The sequence below is a fragment of the Homo sapiens genome, chromosome 6, assembly GCF_000001405.40.
Source record: "Homo sapiens chromosome 6, GRCh38.p14 Primary Assembly".
Taxonomy (NCBI): Eukaryota; Metazoa; Chordata; class Mammalia; order Primates; family Hominidae; genus Homo; species Homo sapiens.
Genome location: NC_000006.12, coordinates 97,676,146 through 97,703,400, shown reverse-complemented (window position 1 = coordinate 97,703,400; position 27,255 = coordinate 97,676,146). Strand labels below are relative to the sequence as shown.

General features: G+C 34.3%; 1 long non-coding RNA gene across 1 annotated transcript in view; it reads right to left on the bottom strand.

Moving 5' to 3' along the window:
- Positions 1-27,255, bottom strand: part of LOC101927314 (uncharacterized) — a 403,332-nt gene that overhangs the window by 5,517 nt on the left and 370,560 nt on the right. Inside the window, exon 4 of the long non-coding RNA NR_110757.1 lies at positions 1,037-1,118. This is a non-coding gene — a long non-coding RNA (uncharacterized LOC101927314). The remainder of the gene's footprint in view (positions 1-1,036; positions 1,119-27,255) is intronic.

Here is a 27,255-nt window from a genome sequence, read left to right as displayed (position 1 = left end):
ATTCCAATAAAACTTCATTTAAAAAAACAAATGCAGGCAGAATTTGGCCTTTGATTTCTGGGTCATAGTTTGCAGGTTCTAGTGCTGCTATATAGCATGCTTTTATGTGACACACTCTATACCTATCAAAATGAACATCTATAACAAGAATAAAGGAAAAATTATTCATTTCCTACTGAAGTATACAAGCAATTCATATTTAAACTAGGGCACTAAATTCCAGAAGGAAAGTAAAAAGTGGTAAGAATTAAATAAACACCATTTTTGGGGGGGTGTGAGACAGGGTCTTGTTCTGTCTTCCAGGCTGGAGTGCAGTGGCACAATCGCGGCTCACTGCAGTCCCTCTTGGGATCAAGCAGTTCTCCCACTGCAGCCTCCCAAGTAGCTGGGACCACAGGCTCACACCACCACACTTGGATAATTTTTTTTCTTTTTTAAATAGAAACAAGGTCTCCCTGTGTTGCCCAGGTTGGTCTCAAACTCCTGGGCTCAAGCTATCCTCCTGCCTCAGCCTTCCAAAGTGCTGGGGTTACAGACATGAGCCACCACACCTGGCAAATAAATATATTTCTTTCCAGCAGCTCTATTTTAGATCTTTCTATTTACTTTCAAATCTTTTTGTTGAGTGTTTTAAAAATAGTAATTGACGATAAAACCTGAGAGAGGGAAAACTAACACTGCAAAGGCCAGCACTGCTGACAATTGACTTCTTTGCTAGGTGAATTGGCCATTGACTTATCACACAAAAACAGAAATGAATGTTTTCAGTGAAGGCTCTAGAAAGTGTGTTTTTAATGAAAGTTTACTCAATAAAAATAAAATGTACTTCTTCCAAAACTTAAAGTCCAAAGTAAAAGCTTTCTAGAAGAGATTTCTAGAGTGCACAAATATTGGCTTAGCTCCATAAAACCATAGCACTGTCTGTATTTAATTACCAACCCATGAGCATTCTGACAGCCCCAATGCAGTGCTTAGTAAGCATTTTACCCACAGACAGCTTGCAGATGTACAGTAGTGCTAAAATTACAAGACTTACCATGACTTGTTCTGTCAACCAACTTTGGAACTGGAGCTTACTTGTCTCTATAATGAGCTGTCTGATGTTCCATCCATTTTACCTGTAGCAAACAGGAGTAAATGTAACTAACCAAACGTTGGTATATTAGTAAGACACAAATAAAACTATTCTTCATTTGCAAGAAGCTTTCAGCAATGAGAATTTACCATACATAATTTACTCACACTTGCGCTTTTATGCAAAATAGCATACATTTAATTTTTTCCTGCATAAATTAAAATTTACCCCAGGCAATATTTCCTCAGAATTTTCTCACAATCTAGAGATCTGACTAATGTATCAGCTAACATCAGTAAAGAGGTAAATGTACCATCATGTGTCATTTGTAAATACACAAAGTAATTTAGTCACTTGAACTTTATTGCAAGATGCGCAAATCCTTACAAGCTAAGTTTGCATCATCAGATATTAAAGTATTAAGCTGTATGACTGAGAATCTTTCACAATATTAAAACACCATAATTGTAAGATATTGCTGTATTTGTTTATACATGTAGAAACTGGGGTGACATAAGATCACATGATTAAATTATTAGCTTTTAGATATCTGCGAAAAGGTTTTTTTACTGATCAGGTTTATTATACATTTCTTTAAAATTCTTTCACTTCTAAAAAGCTAAAACAATATTAGTCAATATGTAGATGGAAAAAATGTGATATTCAGAAGAATAAAAAGACTTTTACAAAATCTGCACAAAAAGTTTGTATAGAAAAGGAGTAAAAGCCAATAGGGACATATTTTGAAATGAAATAACTTATTTTTTAATGTTTTTACTTACCTTTGAGAATTGCTTATTTTTTATCATTAACCTTTAGTAAAAACAAGTACAGTGTCTTTAAAAGGAGTTTCAGCTCAAAAATTGTGACTGAGCTGGCCTCTAGGGCTCATAGTAGGTCTCAGTGAAGACCTATTAAAATATGAACTATAGTGTGCATATGTAATTATTTTTTTAGCATTGGTTCCACATAAGAAGCCTAGTAAGTAACATACCACAACCTAAATTTCTGGCATTTAGATTGAGCTTTATTAATAAAATCATATTCTACCAATCTGTGCAATGCTCAAGCAAGTTGTGAATTGAAAACATGGTAAACCAAAGGAAACAAAAAAAATTCAGAACACAAATATCCGTTTGTCCTATAAATCTACCAAATGTCCCCTCCTGACCATATTATTGCCATTGTGAATGAATGAAACTGGACTGCATTTCTGCACATATATATGCGTGTATATATATATACACGCATATATATACGCGTATATATATATGCATATATATGTGTGTGTTTAAATATATAAAAGTATAATAACAAATAAAAATGTTTTAGAACATTAGAGGAACTGGTAGCTCAGAGGCTAAGATGCCCCAAATCCTCAGTATTTTTGTGTATATATATATGTATTTTACATATATAATCACATATATTATATGTATGTACACGTTTAGATAACCCAAGCCATAGTTAAAAATTAAGTTTCTTAGTTTTATACCTGGTTTATAATTCCTTCATTCATATTTCTTTATATTCCCTGTATTTTGTTTGTGAAGTTAATCCAAACAGACATAGCATGTGGGGTTTCTTTTATTTATTTTTTTAATTTATTTTATTTTATTTTATTTTTTGAGACGGAGTCTCGCTCTGTCGCCCAGGCTGGAGTGCAGTGGCGCCATCTCGGCTCACTGCAAGCTCTGCCTCCCGGGTTCACGTCATTCTCCCGGCTCAGCCTCTGAGTAGCTGGGACTACAGGCGCCCGCCACCACACCCGGCTAATTTTTTGTATTTTTAGTAGAGACGAGGTTTCACTGTGTTAGCCAGGATGGTCTCGATCTCTTGACCTCGTGATCCGCCTGCATCGGCCTCCCAAAGTGTTGGGATTACTGGCGTGAGCCACCATGCCCGGCTGCATGTGGGATTTCTTTTCTAATGCCCTTAACCCATATTTGGTGGCAACGTGGCAGTAGGAAAGTGCATGCGGCGGTAAGGGGTTTCTACGCCATCCTCAATAAAATCATTCAGTCATAAATAAACATGAGTGATCTTCCACCATGATACTATCCTAATCACTTAGCAGGCTAGAGGCAGAGTCTCATTGTAGCAAACATTCACACACACAGCCTACATACGAAAGCTTTGCTGCTGGACAGGGGTCTTCTAACCTCTCAAAAAAACATTTGTGTGTGTTTTCTTCATAATAGCAACATCAGTGACATCTTGTCTTCTAATTGTTTATATATTATCTCCTAATCACCTCTCCCAGCTCATAACTCACAGCAAGTTGCTCTAGGACTGGAGGGAAGCTTGAGAACATACAATAGAGAGATCAAAGGATTTAGAACACTAAAATTTATACACACACAAAAAATGTTTTAGAACATCAGAGGAGGTGGCAACCCAATAGTTATTAACTTTCAGGCTTAATAAATTTTTTTCAGATACTTTAAGACAGTCAAAATGAGTAGACCAGTTGTTTGATTGCTTGTATATCTTAATGCAGAATTTAAGTTTTACTTTTGTTTGGTTCTACTGGATAAACATAGATTTTCAAGACTGTAAGGTTCACATGAGGCTTAGTGATGTTTTCATCCAACATCTTCATTGTGAAGATGGACAAACAGACCTAGACAAGGTCTAAGCCCTGCAGCCATTTTAGCAAAGTACGCACAGCAGGTCCATGGCAGAAGGCCTCAGTGGGCCACTAGGTTAAATGTCCTTTCTACAAAATGACACAATACTGGCTGAGAAAACAGGTGAAGTCAAACAAATTTTAAGCAAAAATCATCACAGAAATTCTTTAAAAGAAAAGTATTTTGTATTGTCAGGTGCTATAAGCTTAGAACTTAGACTTTGCTAACTACAACCCAAGCTCACTGGACCACTGAGAAAAGTATTCATTTGACATAATAGCTTTTTTAAAAAAATTGATGCAGTGAAGATTGGTTGAAAGTAAAATTTTGAGCAAATTATTGTCAGGGCACCCATACACATATGGCTTTAATGTCTACTTTCTGTGGTGGAAACAGAGTACCTGAAAAGAGACACTTATATTTGCCATACTAAACCTTTCTATTAATCTAGTAGCTGGCATTTCAGTCAGCTTATGTCAGGAAAATTTATGTTCAACATTTCATTTTTCTTGCTGAGATTATTGCGATATTCTAACATTCTCTTGCTTCCAGTATCTCCTACATACAATTTCCCCACACATTGCTGTCACAGCTGTCTTCCTACTCTATAAGTTTGAACTAGTCAATTCTTCCCTTAAAAACTTTCAGTGTTTCCACATTGTCTATATATACATTTAAAAAAAACTGTCATCTTTGGTGACACATTCAAATATCATGAAAATTGCCCATGTGACTCTGGAGTCCAGAATCAAATACTTCCCCATACATACTGAGATCATCCAAACTATTCAGTTACCAAATGTCTCCAATATCTTTCCTTATCCTTTTCCATACAGTCAAATACCTATTGAAGCAATTCTCTTCTTCAATATATAATTGTCACCTTCTCCTTTAAGCACTCTTTGGTTTTGAGCCAGGAGATTCATATCTGTATTCCAATATTAGTTGGTGGTTTGAATTTATTCTCCAGCGTTTAAAACCTTCTTCTTTGAATTATATTGATGCATTTGCATATATTTCACTCAAGTTTAAAATACGTTATGAAAGACTTCCTGCTTCATGTTTATACAGTTAAGCAAACTTTGGCCTCCTATAAGACTTTCATGAGACAGCACAGTAACAAGTTGTTTCAATGAATACTTTTTTTCCCCAATTTTCCGTCTTACTAAAATCTATATCTATCCTGTATCTACCAGGAGTATATGAGGAAAAGGCAGGAGTTTAGAAGGAGTAATTCATAAATAGTTAAGCTGTACTTCCAAAGCACTGCCTAAAGGATTTCCTTATTTCCAGTCTCACATCATTCCAAATCAACACAATACTATCTGGTTGGTCACTCAAAATTGCAAATCTGATTATTGTTCACGTGTTACCCATCTTTGAATTGTAACTTTAATATAATTTGAATATATGTACATTTTTAGCTATAATATAACATTCTAACTCCAAAACTTTGCATGTGGGAAGTGGCGTCTATCTGGACAGTCTCATCTCCTACCCTTCCTCCATGTGCACCTTTGCCTGGTATCCTGAATACCTCAGTGCCTTTAAACATGACATTCTTCTGTCAAGATTGGCTTTGCCCAACTTCTCTTCCTGTCAAATGCCAGACTTTAGCTCCTCTGAGAAGCCACCCCAGTACCTTCAGGAAAGTACTGTGTGTGCCCTCTTCTTATAGCATTGTCTGTTTGATTTATTGTGTTCTCATTGCATTCCCTAATTGATTTATTGTTTTGTAACTGCTTCTATCACTGTCTCCTCTGAAATATTGTAAGCTATTTAATGGTAGGGGTCTTAGTCTCATTTTATTGCATATACAGCATAGGGTCTGGCACATGGTGGGAGAGCAAATAAATATTTTTAAGTGGACAAATACAAGAATGAGCACCAGATAGATAAGAAAATGACAAGAAACTTCATTTTTCTTGCCTGGGAGGAGAGACCCAGTGTGGTATAGCCTGGTCATCCAAATGTCTTTCTGAATGAATTATAAAACCTTAGTCTACCCTCATGACACCAGCATCTCACCCTGCTGACTAACCATGATGGTGACCTCATGTCAGAACAGTCTGGAATGTTTGGGAACATTCCAGCAGAAGTGAAGTAAACCTGGTTCTTGAAATCATATGCTTTTGCTTGTTAAGTAAAATACTAAATGTCAATATTACCCTTCTAACTGACATTCAGTATTTTACTTAACAAGCAAAAGAGTATAATTTCAAGAACCAGATTTACTTCATGTCTGTTCCTCTAATCACCAAAAATATATCTTCCATTAATTTATCTCTGTTTCTAATGATTATAAACCAACAAAGCAAATATTGGTGTTTGTAATTTTTCACATAAAAAATTAGAGGCATTCACACAGTCCAAGACAGAATGTTAACATTTTTTTCTCATGCAGCCATGTGAAATTATCATCAAAAGCATTTACAAACTGTTAATGATTGTGTGTCCCTGTGCAAATAGAAATAACATGATTAACCAAAGTCCCTACATATATGATATTGAGAGGTACAGCTCAGGTCAAATGAAAAGCAAACATTTGGATAATTTATTTAGAAAAGTTTCTTTTCCCTGGGTTTCATCTGTGTATCATATCCATCTTTGTTTTGCCCCCAATATCGTGTATTTGATAGAGAATCAAAAGCCGGCAGGTATACTGACATTCCACTTCATCATTCAGGGGCTTCTAGTTTTCTAGCTCTATTGTAAGTGTTCAAATTTTAGACTCCTAAAACTTTCCCTAAAGTCTAAAAAAAAAAAAAGTCTACAAAAACGCTTTTTTTTTTTTTTTTTTTGAGACAGAGTCTCGCTCTGTAGCCCAGGCTAGAGTGCAGTGGTGCAATCTCAGCTCACTGCGACCTCTGCCTCCCAGGTTCAAGAGATTCTCCTGCCTCAGCCTCCCGAGTAGCTGGGACTACAGGGATGCACCACCACGCCCAGCTAACTTTTTTTGTATTTTTAGTAGAGATGGGGTTTCACCATGTTGGTCAGGCTGGTGTCGAACTCCTGACCTCAAATGATCCACCAACCTCAGCCTCCAAAAGTGCTGTGATTACAGGCATGAGCCACCATGCCCAGCCACTTCCCTTATTTTCTAAGAGACTCAACAAGTAATTTTGGTTGAAAAGTGACTATGTTATATACATATAACATATATAAGTGTGCATATATATATATATATATATATATATATATACCAGTTAGAAGGCATTTTCCTTCTCACAATTAGTTTAAAACAAAATTCCTTTATCTTATTCCCCCCAAAAAAGCCGAAAAAGCATAATACTGAAACATAAGACAAAACACACAGAAAAAGGGGAAAAAAAATTAGACTATGCCCAGAGCCTACTTATGCCATGTCCACAATCTGCTGAGGCTTTTTTGAAATACATGTTTTCTCTTTCAAACAAAGATAAAAAGACAAGCTTTTAGATCATGGGCTATGGGGAGGAAGAGATAATGTCTCTTGTGCTTTGATGTTACAAGTAGCTTATCATTATAGAAGAGTTCTTGTAATGAAATAAAGGTCCTGGTAAACTGAGCCTGGATATTAAATAACCAGCTTCTACACAGAAGCTTTCTGATACTCCTGTTCCTGAAACTGCAGAGCAAACATGTGCATTACGAACAAACTGCAAAGCTTATTTAATGTAGAGACTCTACTTGATAGTTTTTAAAGATATAACTTAACTAAAAAAGGAAAGTATGATTTCCATGTTCCTCAGGGAGCTTTGTTTAGAAATGTTTCTAAAATACCAACTGACAAGAAATTAGGATAAAATTGTCCATTCATCATTAAAAGCAACATATAAAATTGGTTTCAAAGTACTGTGCATTCTCTGTAAACAGAAATCGCAACCTATTGAATAATATTCAAAATGCCAATGTGTTGTTACCTTTCGTTGGTTTTAAATTAGAGGTAAATACAGGTGAAGTTTGAAAAAATATGTTAACTGTAGGTTAACAAGTAGCCTTTTAAACTGTGGCATTCTGAGCAAAATAATTATTTAAAGAAATTTGCCATATATCCTTTAGAAACATAAAAGTTTTTTGATAAAATTATTTAGGTATATATGGAAAATTCAGACAACCAATAGAAGTATAAATGAGAGATTATAAAATTCATACAAGATGTATACCACCCAGAGATTGTCACTGTTTGCCAAATTCCCTTCCAGACCTCTTTATAGACATATATAAATATGGGCATATATGGAAGGGGCCTCGTGATCCGCCCGCCTCCGCGGATAGACAGATGGACATAAACAGTCCTATATTAAAATCATGTCAATATGCACAGTACTATGTGACCTGCTCTTTCTCTCAGAAAAAATTCACAAACATCTTTCCAAGTCAATTAAAATATATTTTTAACAGTTAGTACAGCATTTGTACCAAGGCTTGTTTTTCCAATTTCTCTTTTTTATTTTATTTTATTTATTTATTTATTTATTTATTTATTTATTTATTTATTTATTTATTTTTGAGACAGAGTCTCGCTCTGTCACCCAGGCTGGAGTGCAGTGGTGCGATCTCGGCTCACTGCAACCTCTGCCTCCCAGGTTCAAGCGATTCTCCTGCCTCAGCTTCCCGAGTAGCTGGGATTATAGGCACGCGCCACCACACTCGGCTAATTTTCTATTTTTAATAGAGATGGAGTTTCACCATGTTGGCCAGCTGGTCTTGAACTCCTGACCTCAAGTGATCCATCCACCTCAGCCTCCCAAAGTGCTGGGATTACAAGGATGAGCCACCGCGCCCAGCCTATATTTCCAGTTTCTTGATGATGGACATCTAGGGACAGTAATTCTTTTATAGTTCAATAATAAAATATTATATAGATTGATTTGTAGACCATGTCTTTCCAAAAGGAACTTATAGTGGCTTACAAGAAAAATATAAGTTATAAAAGAAAAATTATTTGATATAAAAAAACAGAAAAGAGAAACAAATAAAAGGAAGAAAAAATATAAAACTCTCCTGAGAAGTAGTGTTTTGAATAAATTAGTCCTTAATTCAGGCTTCCAAATTCATCAGTAAAATACCTAAGGCAAAACAGAAAAATTCAAAATGAAAATAAATACTAGAAACAAGAATCAACAGCCACTGCCAAATCTGGATAGAATCTCCATCGACTTAAAACCTAACTGAATTAGATTTAGTAAAACAATGGCTCACAAATATAGCTACAAGTGGCACAAGAAACAGAGGAGATATTCTGACCATAAAGAAAAGAAAACAACATGCTACTTCTTGTGATAGAATACCTCTGCAAAGACACATAGCAAACTAGTAACAGTGATTGTCTTTAGCTAGGGCAAGTGGAGAATTCTGGCAATGTAGGACGCAGGGGGAATTTACATTTATTACATGTTCTGTTATGGCTTTAATATTTCTATTACAAAATACAAAAATACATTTCCTCAGTAAAAAGTTAATTACAATGTCTAAAACTTTTTCAGCCCAATATGGAATAAGTCCATTTAAAAACTATAAAGTATTATCTTAATTTTAAGTAAAAATATGGTATTTATATATATAAATGAATATATTCATATGTGAGTAAACTCATGATTTATTTTCTTCCATCTCCTTTGAAGATTTTCTTCTGTTTCTAGCATGAACATATTGTTGTATAAGCAGAAAAGCTCATACTTAAAAATAACTTGCAAAGTAATTTAAAAAAACAAGAAAGAGAACACTAAATGTAAAAATTATGATTCAATCACAATTCTTTTCAAAGCAAAATATAAACTCTAATTAATCATTTCACTATTAAAAGAAAAGGAACAAAAGTAAATGAAGTTAATTTGAGAAGTTAGCCAAATAATTTTAAAAGTCAATGGAAAACAAGGGAAAAGAAAGAAAATAGAAAGAGAAATTTTAAAAACACACAACCATTTTTAAAAAATAAAGCTATGCTTTAAAACATTAAAAAATCCCTTAATTATAATCAAGAAAAAGTGAAAAGTCAAACAACACTAGAAATTAAAAACATATAAAGAAAGCAAAATCTCTGCTAATAAATCTTTGAACGTATCTCCCCCATTCCCCCTTATCCAGTCCACCCATACTGGTCTCTTTGCTTTTCCTTGCATATGCCAGGCATATACTTGCATTTGCACTTGATTTTCCTCCTACCTAAAATTCTTTCTCTGGACATCAGCAAATTCACTCCTTTAAGTCTTTTTCCAATGTCACCTCCTCAGTGAGACCTTCCTTGACTACCCTATTTAAAATTGCACACATGCATGCACATACACACCTGACACTTTCTATCCCCCTTCCCAGTTTAATTTTTTTTCTTGCTCCTTATGACTATCTAATATAGCCTATGTTTTGGCCGGGCGCGGTGGCTCATGCCTGTAATCCCAGCACTTTGGGAGGCTGAGGCGGGGGGATCACGAGGTCAGGAGATCGAGACTGTCCTGGCTAACACGGTGAAACCTTGTCTCTACTAAAAACACACACACAAAAAACAAAAAAAAAACAAAAAGAAAACAAAAAAAACAAACAAATATAACCTATGTTTTACTTATTTATCTTGTTTATTATCTTTTTCCCTCCCTCAATAAGAATAGGTGTAAGTGAGCAGTGATTTTTCTGTTTTTCTTACTGTACATGGTAGATGCTCAGTAAATATTTGTTGAGTGAATGAATAAAAAAATTTTAAAATCTTGATATAAAATTTATGTTCTGGGCAAATACAAAGTATCCAAATTAAGGGGGGAAACAAAATAGAAAGCTGAATTGGTCAGGAGAAATTAACAAAGCTATAAAATAATTTCATCCCAATTTGGTAAAACTTTCATAGTCCTATGGTTTCACCATTATGTTTCTTCAAAATTTCAGAAAGCAGATAAATCTCTGTCTACACATATCCAAATACGCTGAAATTCGGAAAGAACTATTAACATATATTTGTGTATATTTACATGTGTGTACATATTTTATATATATATGTATGTACACATATACTTTCATGTAAGTATAGTGAAAAGATGATATATTTGATATACAGAGTTTTATGTGAGATTTTTAATGGTGAATTTGTAATGTAAACATACTTTCAAACATGTTTTTTTCCTTAACAACATAAAAAACCTTTAGAAGTCACTAAACATTTTTGGAAAATATTAATTTTTCACAACAGTGGTATTCAATACATTAATGTAACAATAAATTTTAAGATTAACAAATTTTGTTAGCTTTCTATTTTTATCTTTCTATTTTTCTATTAAAATGAAATCTGAAATAAACATTTTTATTAATTTATTAAATGTTTAGTGATTGCCTATAATGAGCTAGAGATAGTGTTTCAGCACAGGCGGTGGAGGCAAGAACAAAGATATAGTCCCATCTCTGAGACCTTAGAATATTTGTAGATGGGAAGACAGAAATTATGCAGATACTGATGAAAGTAACCCACGTAATTACAATTGTGATAGTGTGTCATAGGAGGGGTTAAGTGAGAATATAAACCACTACTGGATTTGGAGGGAAAGTCCTACTGAAGAAGTGACATAATTGAGACCTGAAGAATGCCTAGCAAAGGAGAGTATTCTAGGCAAAGGATTTGTGTACTGAGGACCTTCTGTGCATTACATAAATCTTTCTGTACCTGTCTAGTTCCTTAGGATAAATAACTAGACATTAAATCACCAGATCAATGGAAATAACCATTTGTACACTTTGGGACACATACAATCAAATTCCCCAACACTGCGTTTGCTTTAAGATGTAATCTTACCAATAAAGTATGAAAGTGTCTATTTTACTGTTCTCTCACCAGCACTGGGTATTGCATTTTGACCTTGATTTTTAAATTACATTGTGATATGATAACAATTACAGAAAAATAATAAAATATGTATAAGTATAAATAAATAATGAATTTTCAGATCCCAAATTTCCACCATCTAGAAATTACTACTTTGAACATATATTCAAAACAATACTTCATGTACATATACACATTTAAAAGGTACTGTTGTCTTTGTATTATAGTTGTTTTCCACTCACTATATTATAAGCATTTTTTAGAATAATAACTATGCATCTACATTTTCATATATTGAACAGGGTCCCATTGTTAGACTACAGTAGGTTTAACCTATTCCATATTATTATTTTTCATTTTTATGTTTAAGTGAATATTTAACTGTACATTTTTAAAAACATTTTTATCTTATTTGTGGCTTCTTGGGATTCCTAAATCAGTGGCTTAATGCATTTCAGTAGTTCTCGGAAATTATTAGCCATTGTCGCTTCAAAATAGTTTCTGCACATTTTTTTTCTCCTCTTGTTCTGGGCCTCAAACATGCTAAATCTTCTTTCCAGGTCCTCTAAGTCCCTTACCATTTTCTAAATTGTCCATATTTTTGTCTCTCTGTATTTTATTCTGGATAATTTCTAATGATCTACCTTCTAATTTCTAATTTCTAATGATATACCAGTTCAGAGTATATCAAACCTACATAATCTGCTGGTAAACCCATTCTTTGAGTTCTCAATATCAACTTGATATTTAGTTATTATAATTCCAATTGGCTCTTTTGCACATTTATCACATCACATTTATAGTTTTCATATTTTACTGAAATTTTTAAACTTAGACATTACCTCCATTAATATAGAATCGATTTTTTAATTTTTAATATCTGTAGTCCCAGTGGTCTGTTTCTAGTGTATTCTGCTTCTGTGGATAGTGGCTGATACTGTCTAGATGTATTGTGTACCATACTGTCCTTGGTTGTTTGCTAAGGACTTGTTTGAAAAATTACTTTTAGAAGTAATTTGAAACCCAGGAAAAGGATATACTACTTCAGAAGGATACTTCATTTCCTTTTGCACAGAAGGGTGGTGCCCACATGAGACCAAGACTTGAGATTTTAGGGACAATTTAGAAGACCATAGAGAGTACATTTTTTGTTCCCTATTGCAGAGACCAGCCTTTCAGGGATCTGGGCCAGACTAGGATTATTTCTCTTTGACAGGACCAAAATAGCAGTTTACAATTTAGCTGCTTTTCATAGCCAAAGTTTGACAAAGACATATTTCTTTCAGCTCTCACTCATTTCCTGTTTTGGGTCTGGTATTTTCATACTATCTTGTTAACCCCACGATCTATTTAAGAAGATATTTTGCGTTTCATCCAGGATTTTTTTGTTTTTTCAACATTGTCTTTTCTAGGGTGGTTGGTGGTTGGTCTGCGTTACCAATTCATCATTGCAAGAAATAAGTCCCCCTGAACTATTCTAATTTGTTTAAAATTAATTTTATCCACAGTTGTTATTGTTTTATAATATTGTTATTACAAATGATGCCATAATGAAAATTGCTTTAAATATACCTTTTGCTTTTAGTCATTTCCTTAAATTCCTGAAAATGAATTGCTGCATTCATATTCTGTGTATTTTAAGACATGTCATGTATCATTAACTAACCTTCCAGAAAATCTGTTTTGCTACCTTTACTTTTTTCATCAGAAAACAAATTCTCCCCAGTGCTCGTTCCCCACTGAACATACAGACATTCACACGTATAACTGTGTAATGATTTTTCACTTTTGGCAGCTTGATAGGCAGATAAATTTAAATATAAATATATTTCTTCTTTTCAAATGTTTATTTATTTGACTTCTAGTGAGACTAAGCATATGGTCATGTTTATTGAACATTTGTAGTTCTTCATTTGTGAATTACTTAATCAAATTTTCTTACTCATAAAGTAGGTAGTCAATAGTCAATTTTATTCCTATTTGTATTACTAAGATTAGTAGATATAAATGTAATTATATAAAAAGATAAAAGTAAATGTAGTCAACAAAGAAAACATCGAAATAGCATAAAAACAAAAGGCTTTAAATTACCAGAAGTAAGGTCAGATTTAACTATCCAAAGCAAAAATCAGACTTGAAAGCCTGCTTTAATAAAGTTTTATTCAAACACAACCATGCACATTTATTTGTTCATTATCAGTGGCTGCTTTTCACTACAAAGCCGGAGCTGAGGACCTGACACAGACACTAAACTGTTAACAAAGTTTAAAATATTTATTATCCTGTCCTTTACAGAAAAGATTTGCCAACTCCTGATTTAAAGGCAAGATATTATTTAATAATTATTTTATCAATATACAAAAAATACTGTCTTATTATGTTTATTATATTTATTAATTCATTTAATAAATCTATGGTATAGGTACTATTGCAGGACTTTTCCTTAGTTCAGCTAAAGGCAGGGTCCTTGTTACACGGCCACAAAAATTTAGGCTCGCAAACAATTTGAATGGTAAGTAAGACAGGGTTTTATTGGGTGAAAAGGAAGAAAAGGGGAAAACAGGGACTCGCCCCAAGCCCAGAGTCCCTGCTAGGTTGCTTCCTGCCTTGCAGTTTGAATCCCAGATTCCACACAGGAAAAGGAGGGGCCAGGCTCCTCCCAGCTGCGAAAGGCATGGACTTCCTGATGCTCCAGCCCAGTGTGCAGGTCAGTTGGAGTTTTTCAGAGGAACCCCTTCCACCTGGCTATCTCACTATAATTAACCTATTTACAGATAAAGTTATTATACAGAGCCAAGGAGGGTAAACCAATCACTCAGCATTCTAGTAGATGGCACAAAGAGATTCAAATTCAGACAATATGGATCAAGGGTCATTGGTCTTAATCTAAAAGTGAATTGCTAGCAATGTTTGTACCAAAACCTGTCACATCCCTCACCATTTTATTAAGAGCAATCTGGATGTTATTTAACATTGCAAATGATATATGAAAGAAATAACCAGCATAAGGAGAAGAACAAAACTACTGTTTGGCATGTGAACACACGAAATAAAATGAGGAAAAATATAGAACTAGTAAGATAAACTAATCATTGAGAAGAAATAGTACTACAAACAAAACCCCATAACTTTCCTCTACTACATCATTAACAAGTAAGAAGATGGCTGGGCATGGTGGCTCACAGTTGTAATCCCAGCACTTTGGGAAGCTGAGGCAGGCAGATCACTTGAGGTCAGGAGTTCAAGTCCAGCCTGACTAACATGGTGAAACTCCGTCTCTACTAAAAATACAAAAATTAGCCAGGTGTGGTGGTGGGCGCCTGTAATCTCATCTACTTGGGAGGCTGAGGCCGGAGAATCACGTGAACCCAGAAGATGGAGTTTGCAGTGAGCTGAGATCCCGCCACTCTATACTCAAGCCTGGGCAACAGAGTGAAACTCTGTCTCAAAAAAAAAAGAAACCAGATGAAAATGAAAATGAGAAAAGTTTTTTTATAAAAGCCATAAATACATAGGCTGTCTAGGAAAAACCATAAGAAAATCTGTAGTTTCTTTACAAATAAAATTTGAAAGTGAATAAAGAGAATCAGCAAGTTTTGGATTGTGGAAGGCTTAATATCACAAATACAGCTATTTTTTTAAGAAAACATAGAGGCTAAAAATAATTTCAGATCCCAAATAAATAATTTTTATAAATAAATTTTTTTTAACCTGACAAATGAACTTAAATTTTACCTAGATAAATACTCTGGTTTGGAAGCCCACCAAATTTGGTAGGAAAAATGAATGATTCAGAGCACTTGCCCAGTCAGATGGAAGAATGAAACAATGATTACTAAAGATTTGGTCTCCTGTCAAAGGCTGGACATGTGACAATTTAAAGAACCCGATGCTCTTCATAATGAGCCTGGCATAGAGCAGGAGCTCAACAAATGTGTGCAATGAATTAATAAATGTACATATTCACCTATAACTAATCAATCGATTATAATAAATATATAACATGCATCTACAAAATCTTTACTCAAATCGTGTTGTGCTCTAAAGCCAAACTAGAATTCCAAATGGATGGAGTAGATTTCTGATTAAAATCTAGTTTATAACAAATGCCATAAAGATATTTTAAATAGGTATTTTATCCCTTCTCTAGGAATTGGTAATATACCATATGTGAAATTGCCACTGTAACTTTAAAATTTCTCGTTGTGACAAGAAAATACAGAATTCAATAGCACATCATTTTAATATTAATATCATAGAATCAAATATCTTTCCATTTCCTTTAATAATTCCTCCATTAATATTTACATTATGTAGTTGTTTGGTTTTTTTCTTGTAAATTTGTTTAAGTTTTTTATACATGCTGGATCTTAGACCTTTGTTGGACGCATAGTTTGCAAAAATTTTCTCCCATTCTGTATGTTGTCTGTTTACTTTGTTGATAGTTTTTTGGCTGTGCAGAAGCTCTTTAGTTTAATTAGATCCCATTTGTCAATTTTTGCTTTTGTTGCAATTGCTTTTGGCATCTTCTTCATGAAATCTTTGCCCATGCCAATGTCCTAAATGTTATTGCCTAGGTTGTCTTCCAGGGTTTTTACACTTTAGGGTTTTACATTTAAGTCTTTAATCCATCTTGAGTTAATTTTTCCATATGGTGTAAAGAAGGGGTCCAGTTTCAATCTTCTGCATATGGCTAGTCAGTTATCCCAGCACCATTTATTGAATAGGGAATCCTTTCTCCATTGCTTGTTTTTGTCGGATTTGTCGAAGATCAGAAAGTTGTAGGTGTTCAGTCTTACTTCTGGAGCTAAATGATGAAAACACATGGACACATACAGGGGAACAACACACGCTGGACCTTTTGGAGGGTGGAGGTTGGGAGGAGGGAGATGATCAGGAAAAATAACCAAGGAGTACCAGGCTTAATACCTGGGTGATGAAATAATCTGTACAACAAACCCCCATGGCACAAGTTTACCTATGTAACAAACCTGCATTTATACCCCTGAACTTAAAATAAAAGTAAAAGAAAATAAAAATAAATATTTACATTAGGAACTGTTGCTACCAATTCTTTTGGAGCTCTTCTTTCACATTTGACTCCTCCATGAAATGGGTGAATGTTGAAAATTGTAAATTTTTATCATTTATCTTCTTATTACTTCCTTCACATTGTAGATACATAGCATTGTTGCCAATGTAATTTCTTGGTATTTAGTTATTTGTTTAAAAAAAACATTAATAAGAGCCCAGTATGTGCCTGACATTGCATAAAGTAATTTCACAAAAGTTGTTTAATTTGGGCTATTGTTCATTAACTGTTGAGCTCACTTAATCAACTTTAAATGTCAACATTTGTTCATTAAAAACAAAACAATATTCTAGGCCACAGTAAACATCTAAAAACTATACTTGTTTTATAAAATTACTAGATATTTTAACTAATGACTATTATTCGTCACTACTTATTAATATAACAATTTCTACTAAACAATTGAATTTAAAATCAGCTACATATTACCTCAGCTCAAATATATTTTAAAATTTCCTTGAAAGTACTTGTTTTTTTAAAAAAATATATATGCCTATTGCAGAATTTTATATTACATAGTCTGGGATGTGCACAGTATATATTTATTTTAATATTTCCTCAGAAATCATCCCCCTCCCCAAGTTCCTTTTAAGTTTTGTTACTCTTTTCTGAACTGACTCCAATTTTCTGACATCTTTCCAACATTGAAGTACCCAGAAATGTATGTGATGTTCATGCAGGTACAATCGCTCAGTGGCAGAGTTTATACCATCGCAGTCTGGATCTACAAAACGTCAAGTGAGGATGATGGCTTGGACAAAAGACCTGCAGTATGTACTACTGGCCTACTCTGACAGATCTAAGTTCCTCTAAAGAGATGAACTAAACTAAGGGGGTTGAGGAGAAGAGTAATGGAGAAGGGAAGCAGAGTGGTTAGGACATGAAAAATCAGAATAAGAAAAGCAGAAACCATTAATGCCTGATGCTTTAGTTATTTAAAGAATATTTTAATAATAAATGTTCCCTAGACTTTCTTTCCTACTCACTATTTTTCTGCATACAAACTTCCTTACATAAGAATTTATATAACTTTCATATATTTTATATAGACCTTTGTCCATAGCTATTAAAAGTTATTTTCCTTTTATTCCTCTCATAATATATTTTTACTCTTCTCTAAATGTTACAAATATCTTTCCATATCAGTTCATTTGGATGATGGGGACAATGACAATTACAATTAAACTATACAGAGAGCTTATCATATATTAGGCACTTTGCTTAATGTCTCACAAAAATGACATTAAATCATCATACAGACTATCAGATAAATATGCACATTTCACAGAGAAAGAAACTGAGGCTCAGAGAGATACAGTGATTTGGCCAAGATTCCCAAGCAAGTGAGTGGCAGAGCCATGATTCACATTTAGAACATCTATTAAAATATTTATTTTTAACAGTTGCATAGTATTCATTTATGTGAGTGTACCAATATTTATTTAATTATCCCCTATTATTAGATATTAAGGTTGTTTATTGATTTTTTAACTATTATAAACAATGATGCATTTTACTCCCTTTTGAAAGTATTTCTACAGCACAAATATCTAAACATGATATTGCTGGCATAAATGTTTTCACACTTTACAACCTATCAATTTAGATTTGTAAACATTTTATTGGCATATAATAGATGTACATAGTTTCAGGGTACATATGATCATTTAAGGCATCCACATAATTTGTGAAGCTCAAATAAGTGTACTTGGGCTAGCTATCACCTTAAATATTTGTCTTTTTTAATGCTAGAAACGTGAATTATTTTCTTCTAGCTATTTTGAAAAGTGCAATAGATTGTTGTAAACTATAATCACACTACTGATTTATCTAACACTAGGTCTTATTTCTTCTTTTTGCTTTTTTGTCTCCCCGTATTTTGGATGACCAATCATCTCTCTCATTGTCAGCCTTTCCTTTTTTTACTGTTACAACACTGGCATTTTTGTAACAAGAAATTGAATTTCTCATCCTACCGTGTTAGTTCCTGTAGTAACACCACACAAGAATGCACATGCATGTGCGCACACACACGCACACATACACTCACACACTTCTCATTTTGTCCCAATATCCTCCACTGATACTATTACCTGTAATCTTAGTTGTTTATACCCATATTTGCAAAGAAAATTCATATCCAAATTTATACAGCCTCTTTTCAATAAAAAATCCATATGTGTTTTCTTGTTACAATACAACAGCTTTTCAAACATCAATTCCTCAACTTGTTACATAGTTGGACCTTCATTAGACATCCAATTGAGGAAGAAAAAAAAAACCCTCATTCCACAGAATACTCAGTATCATAGAGCTAAACTAATGAAGTTCTATAAGGGCAAGTACCATATCTGATTTTCCCCTCCAGTGCCTGACTGATGTTAGGTATTTAATACATGTTTGTTGAATAAATGAACAGAAGAGATCTAAGGAAGCCAAGAGAAAATGGTTATTGGGAAACAGGTTGTCACAGCAGTCAAAAGCAGACTCTAGACCCTGATGGCCTAGGTTAGAATCCTGTCTACACACTTAGCACTTATGGGCAAGTTTCTGAACCTCTATGCCTCAATTTCTCCATCTTTAAAATGGGGATAGCAAAAGTGCCTACTTCATTGGGTTATTGTGAGGATTACATAAGCTAATACATATAGAGCATTTAGAAGTTGCTATCATATATATGTTTTTAATGTAATTCTCAATTTTCCCTTAATTAAAAAAAAGAGGACTGACTTTACAAAACTCATTTGCCTATCATTTCTATAGGTAAATGGTTCAGTCTTTTGGTACTCCTTCCCTCACTTTCCTAGTGCTTTATGGAAACCACGCTTTTTTAAATGAATTGTTTGCTCTGGGCTAAAATGGAGATACAAAGAAGGCAAAATATCATGGTAAGTGAACTAAGGGAGGAGCACATTTACTGAAGCAAGTGAACAAATGGACCAGAAAATTATGTAAAGTGAGTTACAAGATACTCTATTTAGCCTACTGCATAAAACATGGGGTGGGGAGTTAGAAGATTTAGGTTTGAGGTGCAACCCTGACACTTAGTAACTCGTTTATTTTGCACAGGTTCACCTTTCTCAGTTTCTTCTTCTTCTTTTTTTTTAATCTGTCAATATGTCACAGACCTCACAGGTTTCCTATAGGAGTAAATAATTTAATTAAGTTGAAACACATGCAAACCAAAATTTTAGTTCTATTTACTAAATTCTGAATATTTTACTTTAAGTGCACTTGTCTTTTCTTTTAACTTTCCCATTTAATTGATTCCCCAACAAATCTTGAAATGATACTAAACGAATTTAAATATTGTTCCTAACTCTTTTTAGACATATTATTTGCCACACTACATTACAAATACTGGAGTTAATAGACTATAGACTCCAGTTCTGTGAATCCAATTGTCATATTTTTTTACATAAGTCATTCATTTTTAATTAAACCTCTGGTCTGCAAATATATTACTGCACTTCAAAACAGAATGATTTTAGAGGTGTTTAATTTTCTTTGTCATGCATTAAATTGTATCATATCTAGAAGAATAGCACAATCCAGTAGAAACAAGAAGGGCAATCTGTGAACATGCTACAGTCACTCTGTTTACGCATCCAAACTTGTGTGCCTGTGAAGAGCCAAGCACTCTACTAGAAGCTGGGAACCTAACCATAGACAAGACTGACCTGGTCCTACTCAACACAACTGGCAATCTAGTAGAGAAGACTTACAATTAAACAAGATATTATGAAAATGTGTAAGAATTGGTGCTATAAGACAATACAGAGAATCCTTGGAAGCCAAAGGAAAAGTTAATTTGGGCTAAGAAAACAAATCAGGGAAGGTCCCTGTGGAAAGTAATTTTATGCCAAGATCTGAAGACAATTAGCCAGGAGGAAACAGTGTTATGAAGAAGAGTATGGCACATTTAAAGAAGCAAAACATCCAGGTTATTGGTAGCATATAAACTGACAGGGGAAATGTCAAGTGATTGTCATAAATAGGAAGGCAGAAAACAGATTGTAGAGTTAGTACAGACCAAGCTCAGAAGTGTGTGTGTGTTTTTGTTGTTGTTGTTTTTGTTTTTTTCATTAATAGTAGAAATTTGGCTGGGTACGACGGCTCACGCCTGTAATCCCAGCACTTTGGGAGGCTGAGGCGGGCAGATCGATTGAGGCCAGGAGTTGGAGACCAGCCTGGCCAACGTGATGAGACCCTGTGTCAACTAAAAACACAAAAATTAGACAGACGTGGTGGCACACATCTGTAGTCCCAGCTACTCAGGAGGCTGAGGCAGGAGAATCTCTTGAACCCAGGAGGCAGAAGTTGCAGTGAGCCGAGATAGTGCCACTGCATTCCAGCCTGGCAACAGAGTGAGACTCTGTCTTAAACTAAACTAAACTAAACTAAACTAAACTAAACTAAACTAAACTAAACTAAAATTAAATTAAATTAAATAAATTATTTCAAATGGCTTGCCATTTGAAAAATAAACTGGTTCCTTTCCTTATACATTTTACCAAAATATATTCCTATCAAAGTGGAAATGTCCAATTTGTTCCTGGATAAGTAGGCCTGGAATTCAGAAGAGACGTCTGTGATTGATAAATAGAGTTGAGAGCCCTCAGCACACGCAAGACAAATGAAGATGATTCCAGAAAGATAGTGAACAATGACACAAGGAGAGGAGACAGGATAAAGGGGTGAGGAATGCCAGTGGCTAATGGAGAAAGGGAAAAGCAGCCTTTAAAGAAGGATAAGAAGTCAGAGCCAGAAATAGAAAGAAAGTTTGGAAAGTATGGTGTCCTGGAAGCCAAGAAGAAAGACAATTTCAGAAGACGATAGTGGGGTTATCTGCTGTGTCAAATGCAACTAAAACGTCAAAAATGAGAATATCTTCTAGTACTGAATGTATTGGAACATAAGGCATTGATGACTATGTGGAAAACAGTTACCATGAAACTGTAGATGGGACATGAGATTTCAGTGGACAGAAGTTGAGATACTTTCCCCACAGTTTGTAAATTAACATCAAATATTATGAATAATGTATCACAGGAAGATATTTGGCACAAATATCTTTAGCACATGACTGTTTCCAACTGCCTTCCCGCCTTCTTTCCAGATGTGCTCTAGTCTATCCATGTCCAATAGGAAGAACTGCACATAGAATATAATAGGATTCAAGTTAGGATCTGAATGGCATGTTATATGGTGGACTCATCCTTTCTCTCAATTATAAACTACTGTATTTTTTAATTAGACATCGATATTACCAGAGTTCTGATTAGTTTCTGTGGTAAGAACAGGCTGATTCATGGGGAGTTATATCTCACTGTAACTCATAAGTGGCTTGTTATTGACTAAATTTTTGTGCGTTGATGCTTTTTTTGTTCTACACGTCTTCATTTGTAAGCTGGCTTTTTGCTCCTAATGAAATATTTTTATTATGGATTTAACCCATTGCTCAACCTAAGACCTCTTTAGAGAAATAATTCATTCAGTGAGCAAATGCATAATGAATAGCTACCATATTTCTTATTGTGCTAGGCAATAATAAATTGTTTGTAGAACTTACTTCTTATTCTACCTTCATGTTACTGGCATAACTCACTCACGAGTTACCAGTGAGATATGACTCCCCATGAATCAGGCTATTCTGTGGTAACACAGAAACCTTAAAAATCATCTTTAAAAAGTGACTATCATGCCATTTATCATCCTCGTCCAAATCATTAATAAAGATATTGAACAAGGGATGGCCAAGGATGGAACTCAAAACACACTATCAGGGATCACATTTCTTACAGACATCAGTTCATTAAGAATAATATTTGGGGCTGGACACAGTGGCTCATGCCTGTGATTCCAGCACTTTGGGAGGCCGAGGCAGGAGGATTGCTTAAGCCCAGGAGTTAGAGACCAGCCTGGGCAACATAGTGGGACCTTATCTCTACAAATAACTTTTTTTTTTTTAATTAGCCAGGTATGATGGCATATGTCTGTAGGCATACGTCTGTACTCCCAGCTATTAGGGAAGCTGAGGCAGGAGACTCTTTTGAGGCCAGGAGGCAGTGGTTGCAGTAAGCAGTGATCACACTACTGCACTCCAGCCTTGGTGACAGAGTGAGACCCAGTCTCAAAAAAAAAAAAAAAAAAAAGAAGAAGAATATTTAGGATATAATCACTCAATCAATAAGTTACTAACCTGTTTGCCTATGTTATCACATAACCTATATGTCTCCAGACTGTTTAATAATTTGGCATCATACACTCTCAAATACCTTGTTGGACATTTAATTACACTAATTCTACCATATTTATTTGTTGACCTGTCTAGGGAACATAGCAAAATTAGTAATAATTATAAAATTATTTTAGATATTATAAGACAGAATGCCTTTAGGTCAAAATGTAGATCACTGATCTATAGTTTGTACAGTTGCTTTCTTTTCTATTTTGAAAATTTTTTTGTTTAAAAAAATGGAACTCCAAAAAAATTGAACTCCAATCTTCTGTCATTTCTTTTTTCTACAATACTATTACCCATAAATCTCATCAGTGTTCTGGGATTTAACTCATCTGGATCAAAAAACATAAATGTATCTTGATTATTTGGTTGCAAAAACATGTTTAATTTTCTCAGGCTTAAATTTTATCCAACTACACTATCTTCAGTTTATTTCCAAAATAAGATTAATGAACTTGCTGCTATGATATTTTAAGTTAGCATTCCCTTAAGTCCATACCATCTTTATTGTGATCATGAAGCCCCTTGCCCCATGAAAAACGGCAACATTATTTTACGTTGCCATCCACTCGAATTCAAGTTTCAGATATTTTTCATAAGTTGCCTCTGTTTTAGAACCGTTTTTTTTTATTGTCAGGAATAACTTGAATATCCCTGGTGGACTTATTGGGAAGGCTACATTATCTATTATTCAATAGGCTTGCTTGAGCTTCTCAAAACCATTGCTCTGGATAATTAATAAATAAACCTGCCAATAAAATAATTCATGTGGAACCCAAAATAAAGTAAATACATTTATTTGCCAAAATTTCAAGCAGGAGCATGATTAAAGGAGACTCTATTATTTTCCTTTTTATTTTATGATGCTTAGGCCTAGGATCCAAGTTACCTAGTCCACCAAATAAAATACTTCTTTTCTGTTAAAGTCATCATAAGAGGACAGAGTGTGTAGCATTGTTAAAAACTAGTTCATCTTTTGTTATGGCAATATACCTTTGAAGGGCACAGAAATTGTTTTAATTGGATAAATTAGATGTTCTTTGTGTCCATATAAAGTGTTGAATTTAATGATTTGGTTGAATGGATGTCAGTGTTTCTGTTCAATCTTTCAATTAAACTAATATTAATCTTACATTTTCTAAAGAAAGCTTAATAGCACAAGATAACTATGATATCTCCAGGACATACAGTAAGGTCACTGGATATAAATGAGCCCACATTGTTTTCCTGAATAATTCTGCAGCAAAGAAAAAGGCTATGGAAATTGTAGCTATACTAGCTTTTCTCCATTTCAATCACTTAGGACCAACACTAAAAGATCTATGTCTCTCTTTTGACACATTGTTATATGTGGCACTGAGTCCCACTACTTCATAAAGATCATTTGTAAAATTGTAATTTAACGTCGAGGTTTTGTCTGTTTCAACCAACAAAAATCAAGATAGACTTTTGACTAATCCTTTTTTTTAACTTTCTGGAAGATGCATTACAAATAAAAGTACTTTATTTGTTTTTCAAAACTAATTTGACTTGATATACACAAATGAAGTTGTAAATCACATATCACATTAGGAGACAGACTTGGGTGTGGGTTATTTTCTTTAAAAATTATATAAAAATAGAAACATAAAATACTAAAATCATTTTTTATTGCTCATAAAATTTCAAAATTATGAAGGTCCTTCAATTTGATAATGATTGGGGTTCTAGCAAGACGATTCAGAGAGGCTGTAAAATTATGAGGACACTTTAGCACTCCTGTGAGCATTTCCATTCAGAGGTGATCGACCAGCATGACTCAGAGCAATTTGCCTCGTATTTGTAGGAAAGCCTTGTTCTTTCAGACTGAAAAACTTAAAAACACGAAGAAAGCCCAATAATTTTAAATCGTGGTATATACCATACATGCCTAGAAATCCAATTTATTTTCTAAATAAAAACATCACAACTTTTAAAATATAAAGGACCTACTCACAGCAGAACAACAATCTATCCCTTCAAATTCGTATGTTAAATCGCTCTAGCTGTTATTTCTCCCAACCTGGGATTTTCTGACATGAAGAATTGTTCTAGCCATCAAAGAAGATTATTTATTTCTTTTAAACTCTTCTTGGGCTATTACTTTAAAATAATCTTGAGATTTCTTTCCAACCATCCTGTGACCTTTGGAAGTCATTCTGAATTTAGATGAATTATGTGTACTTGCATATGTCTCCTCAAAAGTTACATTTGAAAATAAAGCTATGTTCAAGAAATATATATTTATAATTCTTTTGAGTCTATTTCTATATCTATAAAATGGGGATAATAATGTCTACCTTAAAAGCATGTTGTGAGGTTTAAATGAGTACACAGTGTACTAAACTGACATGTAGCAGATGTACAATAAATACTTGCTATTTTGATATCATTATCATTATAACAATCATTGCCAACCTAAAGTTTGATGTTATATAAAAACCATTCAATTCCAAAAACTTTTTCATCTTGAGCAGATCACTCACATTTTGGGACCTCATCATAAAATATTACCAGTGGTTATAACTGGATTGTGGGTTTTTTAAAAATTCAATGTTTTTCTTTTTCTCAACTATATTATCTTTTTTAAAAATTTATGTCAAATACAATTACTTAAACAAAACAAGAACAGATACCATGTACTATATATTGCTAAGCATACTTGACACTTCTCTATTTGCAATGATTGCCATGATAGGCCGTGGAGAGAGAAGTGTGTAGCTATGGGGGTTACTAAAAACAGAAGTCAGCATCTAGAGAGATTCAGCAGTTACACAGGACACACATATTAACTGCAGATTATGAAACACCTCAAGCATCACAGATCCCTTCTAAACCCCAGACCAATGAGAGTGGGAAGGGAGGCCCCTAGTTTCTAGTTTTCCACTGTCATATCTCCAGTGTCTAGAACAGAAGATACCGAAGCATAGACAATCCTCAAACACTTTTGTTGAATGAATGGCCTCTGGATAAAGACTAGCCTTTCAAGTCAGCTAGTGAGGCTCCGCTATTGAATAAAACTGGACTTGAGAATGACATTTGGATAAAGATGTATAAGTGAGGTCTTCTGATCCTAACTCCCTTTTCTTTAATCTAGGAATCCAAATATCCCTAATAGTGGTATGGATGGGCAGATGTAGATGGAACTGGAAAAGAAAAAGGTGGTCCTTACTGGCTCACTTACTCAACAGGGGTAAAAGAGATACATAGGTAGTTAGAATTAAGAAAGCCTAAATCATGTTCACCAATCCAATTTCCCACATAGTAGGGATGATTAGGCACACATATAGGAATTAGTACATTGTTCCTTTCTTCCTCATTAGACTTTATTCTTCAACAGATTAGCTTTGAAAGGAAGCCCAGAGGAAAGAGGGAGTTAGTGGCAGGCCTTGAACTCCAGCAGTTATTATAAAAGCACCAAGGACAGCCATCCAGGTCAGGGACAGATGATTTATCTGGAAAGATTTCTGGAGTGGGCCTAGACAGAGTTTTAAAAGGTATGAGTAATCAGGTAAAGAGAAAGGGAAAGATTTTCCTACTAAAAGGCGGCACCATGAACAAAGTCACAGAGACAATAGGATCATGTAAATATGGAAACTACAATGAATTCTAGAGTCTTAAAGAATAATTTACAAGACAGAGAGGGATAAGAAATAATACCAGAAAGGCTGACACAGGCACCAGCAGTTGAGTAGAAGAGAGACAAAACTGAAAACAGGGATATCAGTTTGGGGACTGTAATATTCAAAGACAATAAACTGACTAAATTCGAGTATCAGGATATTAAAAACTGATGATTGCACCCAAACAAATCACATTCTGACAAATCTGAAGTATCCTTCCTCAAAACCTTTTAGTTTAATCCAAAAGTTAATTAAAAAGACGTTGTGCACATGTACCCTAAAACTTAAAGTATAATAATAATAAAATAAAATAAAAAGAAAACTAAAATTCAGTATAAAACAACAACAACAACAAAAAAAGATGTAATTCTAAACAAGTGAACCACATGGCTTCTGTGGTTTACTGGGCAGCATTGCACAGTAGTACAAAGGATGAGAGCTGGAGAAATCCTGGACTTGGGACTTTCTGCTCTACCAGAAACTACAAATTCTACTTCAGGAAAACAATGTGACCACAATATCAAGACAAACCGCTGAAAACAAACATGAGGCATCCCGTACAACTATGAACGGATCTAATAATTGCTGCTCCATACTTTTATCAAATGACAAACTATGATAGACAGACCAATTGGTGGCATAATGATGGATGACATTGCTTGACTTCTTAATGCATTCTCACTCCTTTGTATGAGATTTTAAATGTTTGTGGATAAATATTTTCATGCCAGGAACCAATTTAGGAACACCAGTAGCCATTTTCTACACCTATATGAGGTATAGAAAA